Raw genomic sequence first — 21,381 nt, 5'->3', positions numbered from 1 at the left:
TTAATTTTTAAAGAAACAATCATGGAAAAATTGATAATATACCAAATAAGAAATAAGTCAGTAAGTGCAAAGAGATTTAGGGACCTATTAGTGTTAATTATTCAGTTCTGTTCAGCAGATATTTACTGAATATCCCGTATGTGTCAGGCACTATGGTTACAAAAGTGAATGAGCATGGTTCCTGTCCTTTAGGAATTTATAGATAAGCAACACATAGTATTTGATATGATTTGGCTCTGTGTTCCCACCCAAATTTCATCTCGAACTGTAATGCCCATGTGTCGAGGGAGGGACCCAGTGGGGGGTGATTGGACCATGAAGGCAGTATCCCTCATGCTGTTCTCGGGATAGTGAGGGAGCTCTCACAAGATCTGATAGTTTAAAAGTGGCAGTTTCTCCTGCATTGTCTCTATTGCCACCTTGCGAAGAGGGTGCCTGCTTCCCCTTTGCCTTCTGCCATGATTGTAAGTTTCCTGAGGCCTCCCCAGCCACGTAGAAATGTGAGTCAGTTAAACCTCTTTGATTTATAAACTACCCAGCCACAGGTAGTATCTTTTTTTTTTTTTTTTTTTTTTTTTTGAGACGGAGTCTTGCTCTGTTCCCCTGGCTGAGGCTGAAGTGCAGTGGCGCTCAGGTAGTACCTTTGTAGAAGTGTGAAAATGGACTAATACAGATAATTGGCAGATGGGGGTACTGCTACAAAGATAATTTGAAAATGTGGAAGTGACTTTTGAACTGGGTAATAGGCAGACGTTGGAACAGTTTGGAGGCTCAGAAGAAGACAGGCAGATGTGAAAAAGTTTGGAACTTCCTAGAGACTTGTTGTATAATTTTGACCAAAATGCTGATAGTGATATGGACAATGAAGTCCAAGCTGAGATGATCTTCGATGGAGATGAAGAACTTGTTGGGAACTGGAGTAAAGGTCACTTTAGACACTGGTGGCATTTTTCCCCGGACCTAAAGATCTGTGCAACTTTGAACTTGAGAGAGTTGATTTAGGGTATCCGGCAGAAGAAATTTCTAAACAGCAAAGCATTAAGAGGTGACCTGGCTTTTCCTGAAAGTGTATTTATGTGCTCTCACAGAGATAGTTTGAAATTGAACTTATGTTTAAAGGGGAAACAAAGCATAAAAGTTTGGAAAATCTGCAGCCTGACCATTTGGTAGAAAAGAAAAACCCACTTTCTGTGGAGAAATTCAAGCCTGCAGAAATTTGCCTAAGTAACAAACAGCCAAAAGTTAATTGCCAAGACAATGCAGGAAATGTCTCCAGGCATTTCAGAGATCTTCAAGGCAGCCACACCCATTACAGGCCTGGAGGCCTAGGAAAATAAAAACAGTTTTGTGGGCCAGGCCCAGGGCCCAACTCCTTTGTGCAGCCTCGGGACATGGCACCCTGTGTTCCAGCCACTCCAGCTCCAGCTGTGGCTAAAAGGGACCAAGGCACAGCTTGGGCCGTGCTTTAGAGGGTGCAAGTCCCAAGCCTTGGTGGTTTCCACATGGTGTTTGGCCTGCAGGTGCACAGAAGACAAGAATTGAGCTTTGGGAGCATCTGCCTAGATTTTAGAGGATGTATGGAAATGCCTAGACATCAACACAGAAGTCTGCTGCAGGGGCAAAGCCCCTGGAGAACCTCTGCTGGAGCAGGGTGGAGGGGAATTGTGGGGTTGGAGCCCCCACACAGAGTCTTCACTGAGGCACTGCCTAATGGAGCTGTCAGAAGACAGCCACTGACCTCCAGACCTAGAAAGATAGATCCACTGACAGCTTGCAATATGATCCTGGAAAACCCATGGGTACTGAATGCCAGCCCATGAAAGCAGCTAAAGGGACTGTATGCTGCAGACCCAGTAGGGATGCCCAAGGTCTTGGGAGCCCACCCTTTGCATTAGCCTGCCCAGGATATGAGACATGGAGTCAAAGGAGATCATTTTGGAGCTTTAAGAGTTAATGATTGCCCTGTTGGATTTTGGACTTGCATGGAACCTGTGGCCCCTTCGTTTTGTCCAAATTCTCCCATTTGGAATGGGAACATTTACCCAATGCCTGAACCCCCATTTTATCTTGGAAATAACTAACTTGTTTTTGATTTTACAGGCTCATAGGCAGAAGGGACTTATCTTGTCTCAGATGAGACTTTGGACTTGGACTTTTGGGTTAATTCCAGAATGAGTTCACACATTGGGGGAGTGTTGGGAAGGTGTGATTGGTTTCAAAATGGAAAAGGACATGAGATTTGGGCAGTGCTATGGGCAGAATGATAATGTTTGGCTTTGTGTCCCCACTCAAATCTCATCTTGAATTGTAATCCCCACATGTTGAGGGAGGAATCTGGTGTGAGGTGATTGGATCATAGGGGCAATTTCCCCCATGCTGTTCTCATGATAGTGATGGAATTCTCATGAGATATGATGGTTTAAAATTGGCAGTTTCTCCTGCATGTTCTATCGCTCCTGCCACTTTGTGAAGAAGGTGCCTGCTTCCCCAGAACTGCAAGTCAACTAAACCTCTTATGTTTATAAATTACCCAGTCTCAGGTAGTATCTTTATATCAGTATGAAAATTGATTAATACAGTATTATAGGATTTTTAGATGCAAGAAACATCCTAGAGATGATAAAAATAAATCATCTTAAAGGAATGATTAAAGTTAATCTAATACAGAAGAAAAGCGCTTTCCTGGCAGAGTGGAAATAATGGGCAATGGCACAGAGGCATGAAACATGAAGCACACCAGTAAACTCCAAGCAGTTCAATTTTACTAGCACATAAAGTTGGATAAAGGGAGTGGCGGTAATATGGAAAATGAAAAAAATAGGAGTATGTCATGGAGAGTCTTTCTTGACAGGAGAAGTTGCTGTTCATTGTGTTCATGCATGTAATGGCATGATCGAATTTGTATTTGATGTAGAGTATCTGGACCACTATGCAGAGGGCTTAAAGGAAGCAAGGCTTAGGGTAGGAAAACAAGTCAATTATTATTGTAGTAGTCCGCATAAGAACCTAAATCGAGAAAGTAGCAATAGGAGTTGCAAAGAGGAAACTGATTGGAATAATACTTCATAGGAAAATTATCAGGTCTTGTTGGCTGTCTGGATATGCAGGACAAGGGAGAAGAAAGAATCTAGGATGACTAATAGGTTTTATTATTTGAAATGTCAGGGTAGTGGTGAGAGGTGACAGCCTGCTGTCAGTCCTCACAGCCCTCGCTCGCTCTCGGCGACTCCTCTGCCTGGGCTCCCACTTTGGCGGCACTTGAGGAGCCCTTCAGCCCACCGATGCACTGTGGGAGCCCCTTTCTGCGCTGGCCAAGGCCAGAGCCAGCTCCCTCAGCTTGCAGGGAGGTGTGGAGGGAGAGGTGCGAGCGGGAACCGGGCCTGCGTGCGGCGCTTGCGGGCCAGCTGGAGTTCCGTGTGGGCATGGGCTTGGTGGGCCACGCAGTCGGAGCAGACGGCTGGCCGTGCTGGCCCCGGGCAATGAGGGACTTAGCACCGGGGCCAGCGGCTGCAGAGGGTGTACTGGATCCCCCAGCAGTGCCAGCCCACCAGCGCTGTGCTCGATTTCTCGCCGGGCCTTAGCTGCCTTCCTGCAGGGCAGGGCTCGGGACCTGCAGCCTGCCATGCCTGAGCCTCCCACCCCCTCCATGGGCTCCTGTGAGGCCCGAGCCTCCCCGATGAGCACCGCCCCCTGCTCCACGGCGCCCAGTCCCATCGACCACCCAAGGGCTGAGGAGTGTAGGCGCACGGAGCAGGACTGGCAGGCAGCTCCACCTGCAGCCCCAGTGTGGGATCCACTGGGTGAAGCCAGCTGAGCTCCTGAGTCTGGTGGGGCCTTGGAGAAGCTTTATGTCTAGCTCAGGGATTGTAAATACACCAATCGGCACTCTGTATCTAGCTCAAGGTTTGTAAACACACCAATCAGCACCCTGTGTCTAGCTCAGTGTTTGTGAATGCACCAATCGACACTATCTAGCTACTCTGGTGGGGCCTTGGAGAACCTTTATGTCTAGCTCAGGGATTGTAAATACACCAATCGGCACTCTGTATCTAGCTCAAGGTTTGTAAATACACCAATCAGCACCCTGTGCCTAGCTCAGGGTTTGTGAATGCACCAATCAACACTGTATCTAGCTATTCTGGTGGGGCCTTGGAGAACCTTTGTGTGGACACTGCATCTAGCTAATCTGGTGGGGACGTGGAGAACCTTTGTCTCTAGCTCAGGGATTGTAAACGCACCAATCAGCGCCCTGTCAAAACAGACCACTCAGCTCTACCAATCAGCAGGATGTGGGTGGGGCCAGATAAGAGAATAAAAGCAGGCTGCCGGAGCCAGCAGTGGCAACCTGCTCAGGTCCCCTTCCACACTGTGGAAGCTTTGTTCTTTTGCTCTTTGCAATTAATCTTGTTACTGCTCACTCTTTGGGTCCACACTGCTTTTATGAGCTGTAACACTCACCGCGAAGGTCTGCAGCTTCACTCCTGAAGCCAGTGAGCCCATGAGCCCACCGGGAGGAACGAACAACTCCAGATGCGCCACCTTAAGAGCTGTAACACTCACCGCGAAGGTCTGTAGCTTCACTCCTGAGCCAGCGAGACCACGAACCCACCAGAAGGAAGAAACTCCGAACACATCCGAACATCAGAAGGAACAAACTCCAGATGCGCCACCTTAAGAGCTGTAACACTCACCGCGAGGGTCCGCGGCTTCATTCTTGAAGTCAGTGAGACCAAGAACCCATCAATTCCGGACACAGTGGGGCCACTAGTTGAAACTGTAAACAAGACAGGACTGATCTGAGGGAAAGTTAACTCAGTGTTGTACATGTTAAGTTTGGGAGGCTGGTGGGATATCAACAAAAGGACTCTGGCAGACAGATGAATATGTAAATTAGAAGCTCAAGAGATGGCAGAACTAGAGATATATAATGCAATGGTCTAAAACCATGAGTTCCAAAGAGATCAAGCCAAAAGAGCATATAAAGAGAAAATTCCACTGAGAAAAGGAAAGAACAACAATCTTTAACCTTTCTATAGATAGTGGCTTCAGTGAAAGGCTTCTAATTGCTTCAGGTTATTGGTCACAGCTAACATACAGCAATTATAGCACTCTTGTATACTCTGATAGCACACTTTCTTGAATGTAAGATTTTTTTCAACTTGAACATTTCTGGAATTGGATCACGTTTTTAAAGCGATCTCCTCCCTCATCCCCAGAGAAGCTGTTATTTAACACATTATTGCCTCTTGAAAATTTTGAAAATGCTTCAGGTAGTGGTCTCTAAGAATGAGACTCTGAGACTGGTTTATGTACACAAGGTATACTGGAAAAAGTTTTCAGGGTCACTACATGTCAGGGAAGGGAGGATACGTAAATTGGTCAGAGGGTGGAGAAGTAAGGTCACTATTCTGTCACTAGGCAGACTTTGTGGAACTCTGAAGCTAGGATGATCCTTCAGGGGGTGCACTAGACCAGGGCCTTTGTAAACAACCCTACTCCACTCCTATTAAAGAAACGCTGGGTGTAAGCTGCCCTTAGGGAGTGGCTGTGATCTTGCACAAAAAGAACTTGTCCCAGAGAGAACTGTCGTCTTGACAAGTAGCAAGCAGCACTCCCAACAACTGGGATAACAAATTCTTCATCTCTGAAAGGATCTAGGGACACAGAACGGTATCCACTAGAAATGATATTTAAGAATGAAATGAATATGGCATTTTTTTCTCAATATGATTAGATCTTAACATGATCATGAGGTATTAAACAAACTTGCTCTATCACAACTCATTTCAAATTCACTTTAGTAAAAGGCTGGGTTATTTAGAATTCTGTCCTGTTTGGAATAAAGAGGAGAAACACAATTATTGCAAAAATTTTTTAAAAATAAAATAAAATTTAAAAAGGCATTCACTGCAAAATTCCTAGGGTTTTAATGAAAAATAATTTGCCAATGAAAGAGTAAAACAATTCGGGTAAGTGCTAATTTACTGAGCACTTACAAGTCAGAAGCAGCTTTACCATGGAATTAATGGAGTTGAGGCTTCAGAGCTCCTCACCTGCACTGCCTATATTGAGGAAGTAATAGCCTCAGGCCTTTAGTGGAGGTGTGGAGAGTGGTCCTAGCCTGTCCTCACCTTCTACCTCCTAAAAATCATCCTGAGTTTGCAGCAGATGCTGTCAGCAGGCAGGCTGCCAGCATTTCCTTAAATCTATCTACACTTCAATGACAACCTAACCCCAGTGGACTTCAGGGAGATTTTGGACCTTACCTGTGACCCTAATAATGTAAAAGCAAAGCTTTGTCACCACTATCTCCCAGGCTCTTGGCTACTTTCTACTTCCTCCCCTCATCTCTCACAGAAAGACCTGCCCTGCTTACAAGGATGAAGATGGGGAATCAAGAGGAGGCTGCCAGGATGGAGCCACTGCCAAGGCACTGGCCTGTCTGAGACCATGCCAAGTGAGACCCAAAACCTGAACTTCTCTAAGGCTTCCTTCCAAACAATGAACTTCCTGGGCAAAAAGCCAGGGAGGAAGTCAGAATGTGGCATTTCCAGTAATATGTTATGAATTAAGTAAATAAATACTTCCTAAACCAGCAACAATAAAAAATTAATAAATTTCAATCCCCTTTGCTAAAGAATGAATTTTCTTTCTATTCTCTTTATAGAAAATATTTAAAATTATTATTTGAAAAAGGAAATCTGAGTGTATGCATCTAAAAATGTGTAGAAAATAAAGTATTATAATGAACCAGGAAATTACTAGTAACAATAATATTTGATGATAACTGGGGTATTTTTCAGACCTTTGTTGCCTATAATTTCCCACTCTACAGACATACCTTTAAAATGTTCTAATTAGCTAATTTTGAATTCATAGTTTGAAATTCATTTTCTTAAAGAGAGCTCAGACACTGTAAAAGCTTGAGGCCCTACGAACCTGGATTCTCTCTTGCCTATGATGTGTTAGGCACTTTGCCAAGCACTAAATTTGACGCTCACAATAACCGTATGAGGTAGGCACTGTCATTACCACACTCCACAGACAAGAAAGCTGAGAATGACGAATTTAAGGAACTCGTCAAAGGTGACTCACAGAGGAGTAGGCAGTGTCAGGATTTGAACATGTGGTCTCACTTCTGGGCTCATGCTCTTTAAATTCTGGACGATAATGAAATAGGAAATTTATTATTTTGATGCACCTTGATATGCAGCCTTTCATTTATGATTCAATATTTACTGTGTCCCTCCCACCTTTTATTTATTTATTTATTTATTTATTTATTTATTTATTTATTTTTGAGATGAACTCTTGCTCTTGTTGCCCAGGCTGGAGTGCAATGGCATGATCTCGGCTTACTGCAACCACTGCCTATGGGGCTCAAGCGATTCTCCTCCCTCAGCCTCCTGAGTAGCTGGGATTATAGGTGACCACCACCATGCCTGGCTAATTTTTTTATTTTTAGCAGAGACGGGGTTTCGCCATGTTGGCCAGGCTGGTCTCGAACACCTGACCTTGTAATCTGCCCGTCTCGACCTCTCAAAATGCTGGGATTATAGACGTGAGCCACTGCGCCCAGCCTACTGTGCCCCTTTTTGATTAGGGGGATGTGCTAGGTTCTAAATAATATCAAACAGGTTTAAGAGAGTTCCTGCCCCTACAAATCATAAAGACTAATGAGGCGACCCCAATGGCTGTAACAGTAAGAATAACAAAATACAAAGATATTTTTAAATGTTATGAAGAAATGAAGGAGAAATAATGAATTAAACATTCTGATCTGCCAAGTGGAAGATTGTGATTAATGGTATATAAACATCTGATAAATCTTTTCATTCATGGAACATTAGGAAGCTAATGCAATAATATTCTAAAATTTCAACTCAATAGATATATTTGTAGCTATAAATTTCTGAAGTTTAATTTCAGATTTACCAATTAACAGATGTTTTCTGAGTACCTATGATGTCACTGGCATTCTGAAGAGCACTTGGTGATTGAATCAAGAAATAAATTTGTATCTCGGAAAAAATAGCAGAGATTTTATAATCTACCTTTTTTTCCATGAGGGAGCTGAGGCCAAAAAATGCATGGCATATATTCCAAAAGTCATCTCTTTCAGGAAGTTTTTCCTTAAATGACCACAGTCAGATATCATTTTACCTCTTTCTAAACACAGCTTAGGGTTTGTTGCTCTTTTATGACTCTTGTTCTTTAGTTGTGTACTTGTTTCATACATACTGAGATCATGAGCTTTTCAACCTTTTCAAAAAATTATCAATTACATCTTTAACATCTAAAAACTATGCACCCTCTCCTCAGAAAAATGCATATAAGCACATATCCAAACTTTAGATAAAATCCTCTGAAGTTAAAACATTGAATTCTCTAGGGGGGTCCTAGGACCTCAAATAGAGACTCTCTCTTTTGGAATACTGACTCTATTAAGTGATTGTCTATGTATCTCCTATAGTGTATAACATCGCAACGTACATGACAGAAGTTTAATAAATGTCCATTGATTTGAATCATCGAATGACTAAGTAGTAGCCAAGAGGAAATACAAATCAGCCTTGTAATTCCCTACTTGGTTTTGACTTACACTATTTCATGACCTCTTTGTTAAAGAAAAAAAAAAAAGACATAATCACTGCCACTGTAAGCTCAGTTTTATAGAGGAGATACAATAAATATTAAACTACAAACTCAGTATACTACTTGGTTATGACTCTACATGCAATAAAAATTCATGTTTAGGTGAGGACAGCATCTGTAACATAGAAGACACTCAATATTTGTTGAGTTATTGTGAATAAATGAAAAAATAAATAATAAATAATACTGAATCAACACTGCTGCAAATGGAGAAGGCCTTGGAATGGGTGGTAATTGAGGTTAGTTTTGAAGAGTGGATAAAGTTTGAATAGAAAGAAGGAGGATATTCCAAGCTAATATAGACCTAGCATAAATAATAATAGCAAGTATGAGAAAACCTAAGAGGTGCCACTGAATGAAAAGTATTGAAGGAAGTCAAAGGAAATACATGTGGATAGGCAGGTTGAAGCCAGATTGCATGTGTCCTTCAAAGCCAAACGGAGGAATCTGATATGATTTGCTCGGCAATGGGATATCACTTTAGATTCTTAGACAGTGATGCTGCCTAACAATTATACTTGACAGGGATTAGTCAGTAATTAAATACATAACTGAAGAGAAAAAAAATTTACACATCACTTTTTAACATCAGCTAGTATAAAAACTCAGACCAGTCGTTTACCTATTAGATAAACTAAGATCCTAATCTGATAAATAGCCCTTCTACTTGAATAAATTCATTTACAATTCCTGGTCATCAGTGGTCAATCTTTTAACAGAAAAAAAAGACTACTGAGTACTGAAGAGTGAGAATTTATAGTTGATTACATGCTAAACTTCTGTGTTAATTTTTAGCTGTCTGGGTACAGGCTGGGTCGTAATTAGTTGAGGTCATAGCATGAAATCTCCCAGCTTCTCCAACACATATCCCCAACAGGGTCTTTCACCTGCATTGTAGCACTCTCTGTTACTGTTGCTTCCATAAGTGTATTTTTGGCGAAGAAAACCCTGCTATGTATCAAGTATTCATATTGTGTCTACATTTCAGCCTGTCTACTAAAGCTAGTTATTAATCTCTCTACAAATCCATTCGCAATATGTTTGGGTTATAAATCCCTTTAGAATCCTTGCTGTAGATAAAAGTAGATGTGAGCAATGCCATTTTTCCCCAGAACATCTGTACTGCTCTCTCCCCGACCTAAAGCTCTTTTCTGTATCTTTAACATCATCTCCATCTTCAAATAACTGTTATTCTAATAATAATGTGAAATTACACTTGAGAATGTTTTCCTAATATATGGACAAGATAAAAGTGAGCCAAAAGTTATTACATGACTTGTTCCAGGTTCGCACAGTGCAGTTACTATAACAAACAAGAGGAGAAACAGTCCACTATTGTTTTTTTTTCTTTTTTCTTTTTTTTTTTTTTAGAGACGGAATCTCACTCTGTCACCCAGGCTGGAGTGCAGTGGCGCGATCTCGGCTCACTGCAACCCCCGCCTCCCAGGGTCAAGCAATTTTCCTGCCTCAGCCTTCCGAGTATCTGGGACTACAGGTGCACACCGCCATGCCAGGCTAATTTTTTGTATTTTAGTAGAGACAGGGTTTCACCGTGTTGCGCAGGCGGGTCTCAAACTCCTGAGTTCAGGCAATCCACCCACCTTGCCCTTCCAAAGTGCTAGGATTACAGGCATGAGCCACCGCGCCCAGCCTATTGTTTTTTGTTTGTTTTTGAAATGGAGTCTCGCTCTGTCGCCAGGCTGGAGTGCAGTGGCATGATCTTGGCTCACTGTAACTTCCACCTACCCGGTTCAAGTGATTCTCCTGCCTCAGCCTCCCGAGTAGCTGGGACTACAGGCACCTGCCACCACGCCGGGCTAATTTTTGTATTTTTAGTAGAAACGGGGTTTCACCATGTTGGCTAGGATGGTCTTGATCACTTGACCTCGTGATCCGCCTGCCTCAGCCTCCCAAAGTGTTGAGATTACAGGCGTGAGCCACCGCACCCAGCCCCTATTGTTTTTTGTTTGTTTGTTTGTTTTTTCTTTTGAGATGGAATCTCGCTTTGTCGCCCAGGTTGGAGTGCAGTGGCGTGATCTCGGCTCACTGCAGACTCTGCCTCCCGGGTTCATGCCATTCCCGGGCCTTCCAAGTAGCTGGGACTACAGGCGCCCGCCACCACACCCGGCTAATTTTTTTTGTATTTTTAGTAGAGACCGGGTTTCACTGTGTTAGCCAGGACGGTCTCCAACTCCTGACCTCGTGAACCACCCGCCTCGGCCTCCCCCTATTGTTTTTATTATACCACATTGTCTCTCATCGTTCCCCAACTCCCCAGAGAAGGTTTCAGTGTTGGCTTTCCATTGTGTGTGTATGTGTACACATGTATGTACATGTGTTCATGTGCCACTGAGAGAACTAAAGAGAAAAAAGTCTCCGTTCTTATAGAGTTGGCACATTTTTTAATGTGACTGTATATATTACTTATGTGTGTTATGGACATGCAGAAGTAAGTAGTAGTGACTTTCTGACAGATATATTCTAGCTAGTACTTTATTCTTTAAATAATTTTGGTCAAAAGGTTTATGTAACTCTAGGTAAAGTTATTTATGAGATTCAATGATCACTATTTCCCACTCAGCAAAGCAAATTCACAGTTAGACATCATTAAGTAAAATTTTCCTACTATTCAAATTTTCTTTCAACAATTACAAATTTTAATTTAAGGAGAGGTAGATATTTATGCAGAGAACAAAGCTGAATATTTGTGTATTAATCATTTATATGTGAACTTAATGGTTATACTTACCTTGTTAACTTTAAACAAATCTTTAGAAAAAAGATCACAGTTTAGAATAAACAATTTTTGAAGGGAGACAGGCACGCTACAAAAACAAAAGGTTACATTAATGATCTCTACAGTAGAGTATACTAGCTCAAAAGTTGCATCTAATGTTTACTCCAAATCAAAACCATTAAACAATTGTTTAGAAAAATCACTTCTCAGCAGAAATTACTTCAACCTGAGCTATAAGTTTGTGAATTAAAAGTCCACAGTATACTGCCGAAAGAAAATAATGATTCTTTGCCTTAGGAACAACAAAGTGGGTCATTTAATGTCTGTGAGTTATATACAACCAACGGAGAGAATAAGCTTTCTGCACCAACAACCACTTAGTCAAGCCAATTAACGACTTGACTTAAGCATCTGAAGAGACACTTTGGGTTATTAACTGAAAAGAAAGTCTTATAATAGGGTAAAAAGGCCTTGCAAAATAATTGCCTTTGGGAAAAAATTTTTTCTTAGTTTTCCAGTAGAAATATATGAAACATAAATTATATGGGAATGAAAATTTGTTAACAATCCTGTTATTTCACTTTAAATTCCCTCAGGTACCCACTGTCATGCTAGAACTGAATATTTACATCATGCAAACAACATTATCAGAAAAGATGAAAGAAATTGTTTTCCCACTCATGGCATTCTAGAACCTGTGCTATCATGAGGCATCAAGACACAGTGAAGCAGCCTGTCTGGACTGCCACTTACCCTTTTATTTATTTATTTTTAAATAAATAATGCATGTGAAGAAATACATGTATAGTTTAGAATCCCTTTGGACACTGAGAAAGCTGTTTTCAGGCAAAGCAAAATATTACTATGACTTCTATTACCCTTTAAAAAAGTCTTCTCTCTTTTTTTTTTTTTACACAGGTTAATTAAACATGCCAACTTATTAGAAAAAAAAGAGGAAGGAAGGAAATTATGTTTCACAGCGCATCTTATATAAGAGATCAGAGCAAGAATCAAAAGGTGTTCTGTGAGAAGAAAAATGTACAATAATGGAAGACAGGCACTCTCTCAGACTGTACTCAATTAAGGTAAAAGAGGACCATTAATGAGTCTCAGAACTACAGAGAGAATATAAATGCATATTGGCTGGGCTGAATATATAGACGTCAGCAGGTAAGGATACAAAGCCAGGATGACATGGCCACAAAATGTAAGTGGAGAACAAAAAGTTTTAGTAAGGAAGAACTGGCACTGAAGCATGTTCATTGCAATACAAATCTCTCCAAAATGTATAATTAATATTTATTGAGGACTCCTTGGTGGGAAGTACTTCTGAGGAGCTCTACCTAGGGTAATGAAAGAGGTGAATTGTTGAATATAAAGAACATTTTGACCTTGATGTTGCAAATATCCTAGGAAAACACCCAAAGAACTTGGCTCTAGTGTACAGTAAAGATGGGTTGAACAAGACTATTGAGCCCCAAAAGGGAGGCTGGTGGGAGAGATGTTCTGTAGGAAGAAAGTGGTAAAATAAAGGAAAGTGTTTGTTTTAACTCAGAGCTGCACTTGCCAAATACAAAAGGCAAGCACAGCTCTGAGTGAAAACTAACACCCAGGTTCTGAGCTTTTAATAGCACACAGGGTGGCAACCCATAAAGACAATTTCTGATCAAATTTATGGAACTTTACTTTATAGCCAAGACATAAAGCCATCTCCATGAAGGAAGCTTTACAACAGGGCTTTCCATCAAGTGTTCGACAGAAACAGAACCATTGGAAAAGTCTCTGATATTCAAACAAAAAAATGAAAACAGTGATACAATATTCATTCAGTAGAATGAAGTGCATAAAACACAGGGGATAGCTCACTTCTGGACACGTTATTGGTGGCATTTGCCTTCCTGCCTCTCACAAACATAGCCACACTTTCCCTCCAGCTATAATAAAATACTGCTATCAAGCTAGATAATCAGCACATTGGCTTCCAAAGCACATGGAATCGGTAGTTTCCCTATCAGAATCCTACAGCTTTATGAAGCCACGTACTGACAGGATGGCAAGGTAAAAAGAAAATAAAACCAAAAGAAAAACAGATAAACAGCTGTTTTCCCCTGCATTAAAGCATCATTGCAAATATATAGTAGTATAGGTTCTTGTATAGTGGAAACTTTTTGTTCTCTACGTACTGAATGACAACATGAATAGTTTTGTTCTGTTTTGGTTGCTATTTTCCAAACTTTATTGCCAGAAAAATCACTCCCTATGTGCATGTTGCTCATAATGTCCTCCCTTCTAGGAAGAGAAGTTATAGCTCATCCTCCATTTCTAATTTAACTGTTCATTTAATTTTCTTTAACACTTTAAAATATGTAGATGCTTTGACTTGTAAAAACCAGGCCATCAATTTTGGGGAGAATCCATCAAAATGATAACATCAGTGTTTCATGCAATATATTTCACAAAGAAAGGCAAAACTAACTTTTCTAAGACATTGTGTAGCCATGTTGGCCATAATCTGCAATTATCTGTTTTTTAATATTTTGGTCATGTATCCTAGACAGCAGAAATAATCATGTCCCATTTAAAGTAAGCACAATCATGCATGAATTATGACAAAATAGCATTCAAAATAAAAGATATTTCTGGTTAAATAAAAGAAAGAGAATAAAAGGAACACCTTTGAGATCACAAGAGTATACAAAAAATTGAAACCAAAGAAATAATTTTATTGTGTAAAGAAGGAAAATAATCTTATAACTTGATTAAGTATGACAAGCCCCATGAGTATTCAAATTAATTTTACTATAATATTTACACATATTCACCTGTAAAATGTTTCCATGTCTTTATGAGATCCAGAGAACAAATTTCTTAGTGGTCAAACTAAAATAAATTAAATATTTCCAGCCTCTTGGATACTAAGCAAAGTATATCATAGCAGATGTCATTTAAAATAATAGAACTGTGGAACGGCTTGCTTATTTTTATAATTGAGAATAAGGAGGTCCAGCTGTATCTAGTGACTTGTCCCAAATTACTTAGTCATTGAGTAAATAAAAGTTGGACTTTGTTTCATACACAATCCATACTGCTCCTAATACCACTGAGCTAGTTGTAATCTGGGAGGCTGTCTCTGGCCTGGTGAGTCATGAGGAAAAAGAAGACTGTGTCATTTTCTTAATGGAGGCAAGCAAACAAGATTCAAAAGCTGTTAACAAAGAAATTAATAGTTATCTCAAAATATGTTACACTTAACAACCTAAGAAATATACGGCATATATTTGTTTATGTTATTTAAAATCAATGAGGCCGGGCGTGGTGGCTCACACCTGTAATCCCAACACTTTGGGAGGCCTGGGCAGGCGGATCACAAGGTCAAGAGATCAAGGCCATCCTGGCCAACACGGAGAAACCCTGTCTCTACTAAAAATACAAAAATTAGCCGGGTGTGGTGGCACGTGCCTGTAGTCCCAGCTACTCGGGAGGCTGAGGCAGGAGAATCACTTGAACCCAGGAGGCAGAGGTTGCAGTGAGCTGAGATCATGCCACTGCACTCTAGCCTAGTGACAGAGTGAGACTCTGTCAAAAAAAAAAAAAAAAATCAACGAAATCACACATTTGCTTTTTTTTTTTTCATTGTGTGCACCAGATCAAATATTCTGCTTCAGAAAAATCCATGGGGTCCCTAGTTAAATGATAGCTTTGTATGATCAAGTAAGGGATTTCTCTTGATTGACTTTGTTATCTTTTGCAGTTCCCTTAGCACATTATGGTCACTCAACTCAATTACCTCTGAAAAGGATTTAATTAAGCAGAAAAAAAAATATGACTACGAATTTCCAAAAGAAACTGCAATAAGCCTGACTCTTAGTTAACCAAGTTTTTTAAGTACGTTCATAAGGTAAGCAGAAGGGAGAAAGGGTAGAAAGTAGAAATCAAAGCTTGTAATAAAATAGGGCAGAATAAACTAATAAACACAAGTGCAAATCACAGAAATATATGGGGCATAACAAAACCTAACGTATGCATTTCTGACCATCTGGATCTCCTATTTTACAGGACCAGTGTGCATGTAAAACTGTGCTGGAGACCTCTGAGGCAATATATTTATAGCAGCATATGGGACCAACATAGCCTGGCTATATAGGACTAAGACTGGTTTCCATATCACCACAGATAAAATTAGGCCCTCTGATGAATGTGGTATAGAGACAAAGCTCTGGAGTTCAACCAAACCCAGGCTTGACCTCTAACTCTGCCAATTACTGTTTTGAGCAATATGATATGGTAAGCAGAATTATGCCCCTTCTCCCACAGAATATCTCACACTAACTGTGCATGTGACAACGTATCACTCCTGTGATTGTTTCATGTTACATGGCATAGTTAACCTTAACATAGAGAGATTTTACATAGAAGGGGTGACTAATCTAATCATACAAGCCCTTAAAAGCAGAGAACTTTATCTGGCTGGTAGGAGAAGGGAAAGCCAGAAAGACTCAAATCATAAGAAGGTTTCAACATGCCATTGCTGGTTTGAAGTGAGTGAGCCACATGAGAAGGAGCACAGGTAGCTTCCAGGAGTGGTGAGCAGCCCCTGTTGACAGCCAGCAAGAAAACTGGTACCTCACTCCTACAACTGCAAGTACAGCTCCTTGAACAACTCGGGCTGGGGCACTGATCCCCGGCAAAGACAAAAATCTACCTGTAAGTTTTGACTCCCCCAAAACTAATAGCCTACTGTTGACCAGAAGCCTTATTGATAACACAGCCAATTAACACATATTTTGAATGTATTTCATATGTAGTAGGTACTGTATTCTTACAATAAAGCAAGCTGGAGAAAAAAATGTTATTAAGAAAATCCTAAGAGAAAACATAATTATTATTCATTAAGTGGAAGTGGATCATCATAAAGGTCTTCATCCTCATTGTCTTCAAATTGAGTAAGCTGAGGAGGAAAAGGAGAGGTTGGTCTTGCTGTCTCAGGTGGCAGAGGCAGAAGAAGTGGAGGAGGTGGAAGGGGAGAAAGGAGAGGCAGGCACACTTGGTGTAACTTTGAGGAAATACATTGTAACTTCTGACTCTTTTGCTTCTTTATTTCTTTAAAATATTTCTATGTGGTAGCATCTTTCTTCCACTGTTCACTTTAGTTTCAGTGCCTGTATCATAGAAGGGTCCATGACATGAAAGAAGTTGAAAGTAGCCTTGAATAACAATAACCCTTCTGCCAGATTGTCTAATGTCAATTTGTTTTCTGGCACTGCTTCTTTTATAATATGTCTTCTTCCTCATAGTGTGGCACTGGCACAAAAGCATTCATCTCCATTAAGTTGTCTTCTGTTAATTCCTCTGGTGTGGTTTCTATTAGCTCTTGAATTTCCCCAAGATCCATATCCTGAAATCCTTTACCCCATCTTTTTTTTTTTTTTCTGCCATACCTACAATCTCATCCATAACTTCCTTGATTGGCTCTGTCATAAATCCTGTGAAGTCACGCACAACATCTGGACAGTTTTCTCCAGTAGGAATTTATTGCTTTGGGCTAATGGCCTTCATGGCTTGTTCAATAACAACGACATTTTCAATTGTGTGATCCTTCCAGACTTTCATGATGTCCTTTCTATCAGGGCTCTCTTTCATGTCACTGACAATCCCTTCCATAAAGTACCATGTGTAATGAGTTTAAAGTCCTTATGACCCCTTGATCTAGAGGCTGAATTAGAGAAGTTGTGTTTGGGATCAAGTAGACAACTTAGACACCTTCGATCTTGAATTCATGGAGTTCTGGGTGGCCAAGGGCATTGTCCAAAATCAAAAGAATTTTACTTGCAAGGTACCTCCTGACAAAGCACTGATAAAACAAATGCAGAATAGGGCTTCTCATTGTCCAGGTTGTCTTGTAAAAGCAAAAGACTGGCAGCTGGTGTTTATCTTTTCCCTTCAAGGCTCTTAGATTAGCAGCTTTATAGATGAGGGCGGTGTTGATCATAAACCTGACTGCATTTGTACAAAACAGTAGAGTTAGCCTATCCCTTCCTGCCTTAATTCCTTAAAACTTTCTAAATATGCCTTAAAAACTTTCTAAATATGCCTTAAAAACTTTCTAAATATCAAGACCCAGACAAAAAAGACCAGCTTAATTCCTGGTGCTGGCTTCTATTTTTTACTAATAAATGTCTTCTGTGGCTTTTTTTCCCCAGAGTAGACACTTTTGTCTGTATTAAAAACCTGTTCAGGCAGATATCCTTTCTATTTAATGATTTTTAATGGTGTCTAGGAAACTAGTATGCTGTCTCTTGGTCTATAGGTATGACTTTCTCATAGCAATCCTGTACCCACATAAAAGCTACATTTTCGATATGAGATACAAATGTATTTCACAAAATGTGCAAGGTTTTTGCACCTGCTGTTGTAGCTGCAGCTACAGCTTCAGAAATTTCCTTTTCCTAGGCTGGATTCATGTATCTTGAAATGATGGGCAATCAAAGTGGCAGTCCTCATTTTATGGTACATATCAAGCAATCCAACTTTTTCTTGTAATGTCATGACTTTTCTGTTTCTTGGAAGCACTTCCAGCATCACTAGTGACACTTCCTGTGGGCCGTAGGGTGTTATTCAAGGTTTATGGTAGTACACTAAACACTATAACAAATACTCGAGAACTGCAAGAGATCACTTTTTACTTCAGTATGCAATTTACTGGAGATGAGCTGCTCACACAGGTTGATTAGCATCACAGAGCATTTTATGCAGAGACTTATAGTGCTGGAGTTCACCTCATTACCAACAGGAGGGGGTTACAACATTATTACAGTAGTTTAGTATGTACCACAATTAATTTTATGCCTCCATATATTTGTTTACATTTCTGTCAACTCTAAGTGTTTATATGTGTAAATTCTGATACATTTTAACTTTTAATGATAGATTTGTGTATATTTTATGGTAGTTAATGATAAAAGAGACTAGTATCTCCAGAATAGTGTCACACTTAACTTTTTCCTGATTTTTTCAGTATTTCTAGGCTACACTGTTCATCTGGTTTTTTTTTTTCAAATTGTCTCAAATATCCAAAAGAATCCCAATATAATTATTTTTAAAAAATGGGTATAAGTGGACCTGCAGCTGAAACCCATGTTGTTCGAGGTTCAAGTGGAATTTAATTCTGCCAACAACCTGAATGAGCTTGATAATGAATTCTTTCCAGCTGCCAGCTAAGAGCCCAGCCTGGCTGACACCTTGATTTCTACCTTCAGAGACCCCAAGTAGAACACCCAGTCCAGCCTGCTTGGCCTTCTGATCTACAGAACTATGATATAAGTAATGGTGTTATTTTAATTCTCTAAGTTTGTGGTGATTTGTTACATAGCAATAGAAAACTAATACATAGGGTAATTTATTTAACTTCCAGAGCTGCTGAAAAACAGAGATAATAATACAAATAATCAACAATTTTTAGGAGGCACATTGCATACATATTGCATACATAATCTTGTGTGCAATATGCCTAGCACACTATTTAGCATACAGCAATAAATTAATATGCTGTTACTGTACCTTTAAACATTTTATTTTATGAAACTTCAGAGATTTTTTATTTCTTTTTTTTTTATTTTTTTGAGGTGAAGTCTTCTCTGTCACTCAGGCTGGAGTGCAGTGGCGTGATCTTGGCTCACTGCAATCTCCGCCTCCCTGGTTCAAGCGATTCTCCTGCCTCAGCCTCCTGAGTAGCTGGGATTACAGGCAGGTGCCACCACATCCGGCTAATTTTTGTATTGACACATTTTATATTTCTGAAATTCTCTGCAAAATTGTTAGGGTATTACTTCTACCTCAGTTTCCCTGTACTTTGAACAGACTTACAGGTTTGTTTAAATTAAAATTAAGTCTCATGTGAGATACTACACAAATAATCAAATGACTCCACAAAGCACACAGAAGGTTCTGTCTGGTGATCTGTATTTGCATCCTACACTGTGATCTGTATACATGCTACACTTCAGTTGAGAATAAAAAAACCAAAAACCAAATCCCCACTTCCCAAAATTTCCAACTATATATCCTTAAAAATTATGGAATCCTAGTAAGCATACAAAAGCACAAGGGCTCTAGGCTGTGGTTCATTATTTCAGTAAAGATCAACTGAAGAGTTACCTGAAACTTCTGCAAATTTAACACTTTAATATCAACTTTAGCTGAACTTTCTAAATATCAAGACCCAGACAAAAAAGATCAAATGCTGTGAATGTTCAATTTGCTTACATTGTTTAGCTGGTCCAAATAATTCATAGATATCAAAGTACAAATATGGGTTGAATGAAAAGAGCAGATCATTAATTATGCTGGAATATTAGAAATGGTATAAAAAACTAGAATGTTTGTTTTTGGAGGAAACAAACCATATAATGAAATTAAAAAGAATGAAATCTATGCTACTGCTGTCAGAATGAATAAAGTAGTTTATATGTATGATATAAATGGACAAAAATTAAGGAAAGGTGGCAAACTACAGAAGGTGAGTTGAAATATATTTTCAGATAGTAATAAATACATTATTTCACGTGTGTTCCGGAGGCAGATACAGTCGAATACCTTGTATCTGATAGCCAAGCGCTCTGAGAACAGTGGGGCAATATGATCATTATTGTTTCAGAGGGTAAAAGGAAGCTGTAGAAAATTTTAAGAAGCAGAAAGATATAGTCAAAGTAGGTAGGAGAGTGATGAGTAAGATACCAAAGGCATAATTGAGATATTTGATTTGTGTGACCTTAATTCCCATAGTAATTTGCTAGGGAACTACAAAATAAAAGTAAATCAAGAAAAATCATATCCTTGATCATATAAAGAACCATTTAATGAGAGACTATTTAGATACTTACAAAGCAGAATGTTTGATCTGTTGTACACAATGAAAAGATAGGTCATTGTATGTTTTTTCTATTTCAATGCCAAACAATTATGAGTCCTGATTCAAAAATGAGATTTTCTATTGTACTTTTATCTGAATGAAAATGCTAAAGTGGGAAATTTTATTACATTCTACCCCAAATTAATTCATTTAACAAATATCAGTTGCCCATTACAATGTTCTAACTGCTGTGCTAAGAAGTGAAGGTATAAACATGGTCAAAGTCAGCATCACGCCTCTCCTTATTGAGCTCATAGTCTAGTGAGGAAGAAAGAAAAGCTCACAGCAGCTACATGATACTGGGAGGCATTAGCGGAGGGTGCTATGCAAACATGCAAGAGAGGTGCCTGGCCAGAAGACTTTGTGGAGGAAGTGACATGGAAACTGGGACTTACAGGTAGGGAGACACTCATCAAAAGAATAGTAGGGTGCGCTTCAACCTGAGAGGGCAACATATCTATAAGTCAAAAGATAAGAAACTGTCTTGTATTTTCAAGAAAATGAAAGGCATTCCTATAGCTAGAGTCTACGATCAACATACGTCATTGGCTATAAACTGGTATGTTTTTCTTTGTTATAATGCTTTTACGTATTTAAAGTCTACAGTTCATCTGGAGACTGAATATTTTTCAAAGTAGGATTCTTGCAACTCTCAAAAGTTTAGAATACCCTTATTTTACCAAAATGGACAAGTTTGTGTTTTCTGCTTTAGCACACATACCCTCAAGATAGTGTGGGATATAAATTATAAATTCACTGAGACTTCAAAACAACAGAAATAAATCAATGCAACAACATAATACTTTGCGGTGCGGTGTTTGAAAAGTAAGGCTGTCTAGTTAGAAATGATATTGAAACTACTTGATTAAAATAAAAAGAAAACAAAGTCACACTTCACCCCAACTCCATGCTCTGTAACCATTGGTTATATACTTAGATAAGAGGAAAACTGACTTAAAATATTTATCTTCTTGTTATAAAGGAATAAAAGTGACAGATATTAAGCAGTAAAGTAAAAATTTACCTCTTGTTGCTAAAAAAATGAAGACAGTGTAATAATAAAGTAACAAGAATTAAGAAC

General features: G+C 39.5%; 1 protein-coding gene across 3 annotated transcripts in view; it reads right to left on the bottom strand.

The window, feature by feature from the left end:
- The window catches only part of IL15 (interleukin 15), a 97,405-nt gene that overhangs the window by 40,392 nt on the left and 35,632 nt on the right, over positions 1-21,381 (bottom strand). The window contains exon 3 of one of the 3 annotated variants that reach the window (NM_172175.3): positions 4,561-4,774. The exons of the other annotated variants lie outside the window; for them this stretch is intronic. The gene's annotated coding sequence lies outside the window, so the exon portion shown is untranslated. The remainder of the gene's footprint in view (positions 1-4,560; positions 4,775-21,381) is intronic. 3 annotated transcript variants of the gene reach the window in all.

The sequence above is a fragment of the Homo sapiens genome, chromosome 4 (assembly GCF_000001405.40).
Source record: "Homo sapiens chromosome 4, GRCh38.p14 Primary Assembly".
Lineage (NCBI taxonomy): Eukaryota > Metazoa > Chordata > Mammalia > Primates > Hominidae > Homo > Homo sapiens.
The sequence above is the reverse complement of the archived record's forward strand: the minus strand, read 5'-3'. Positions and strand labels throughout refer to the sequence as shown.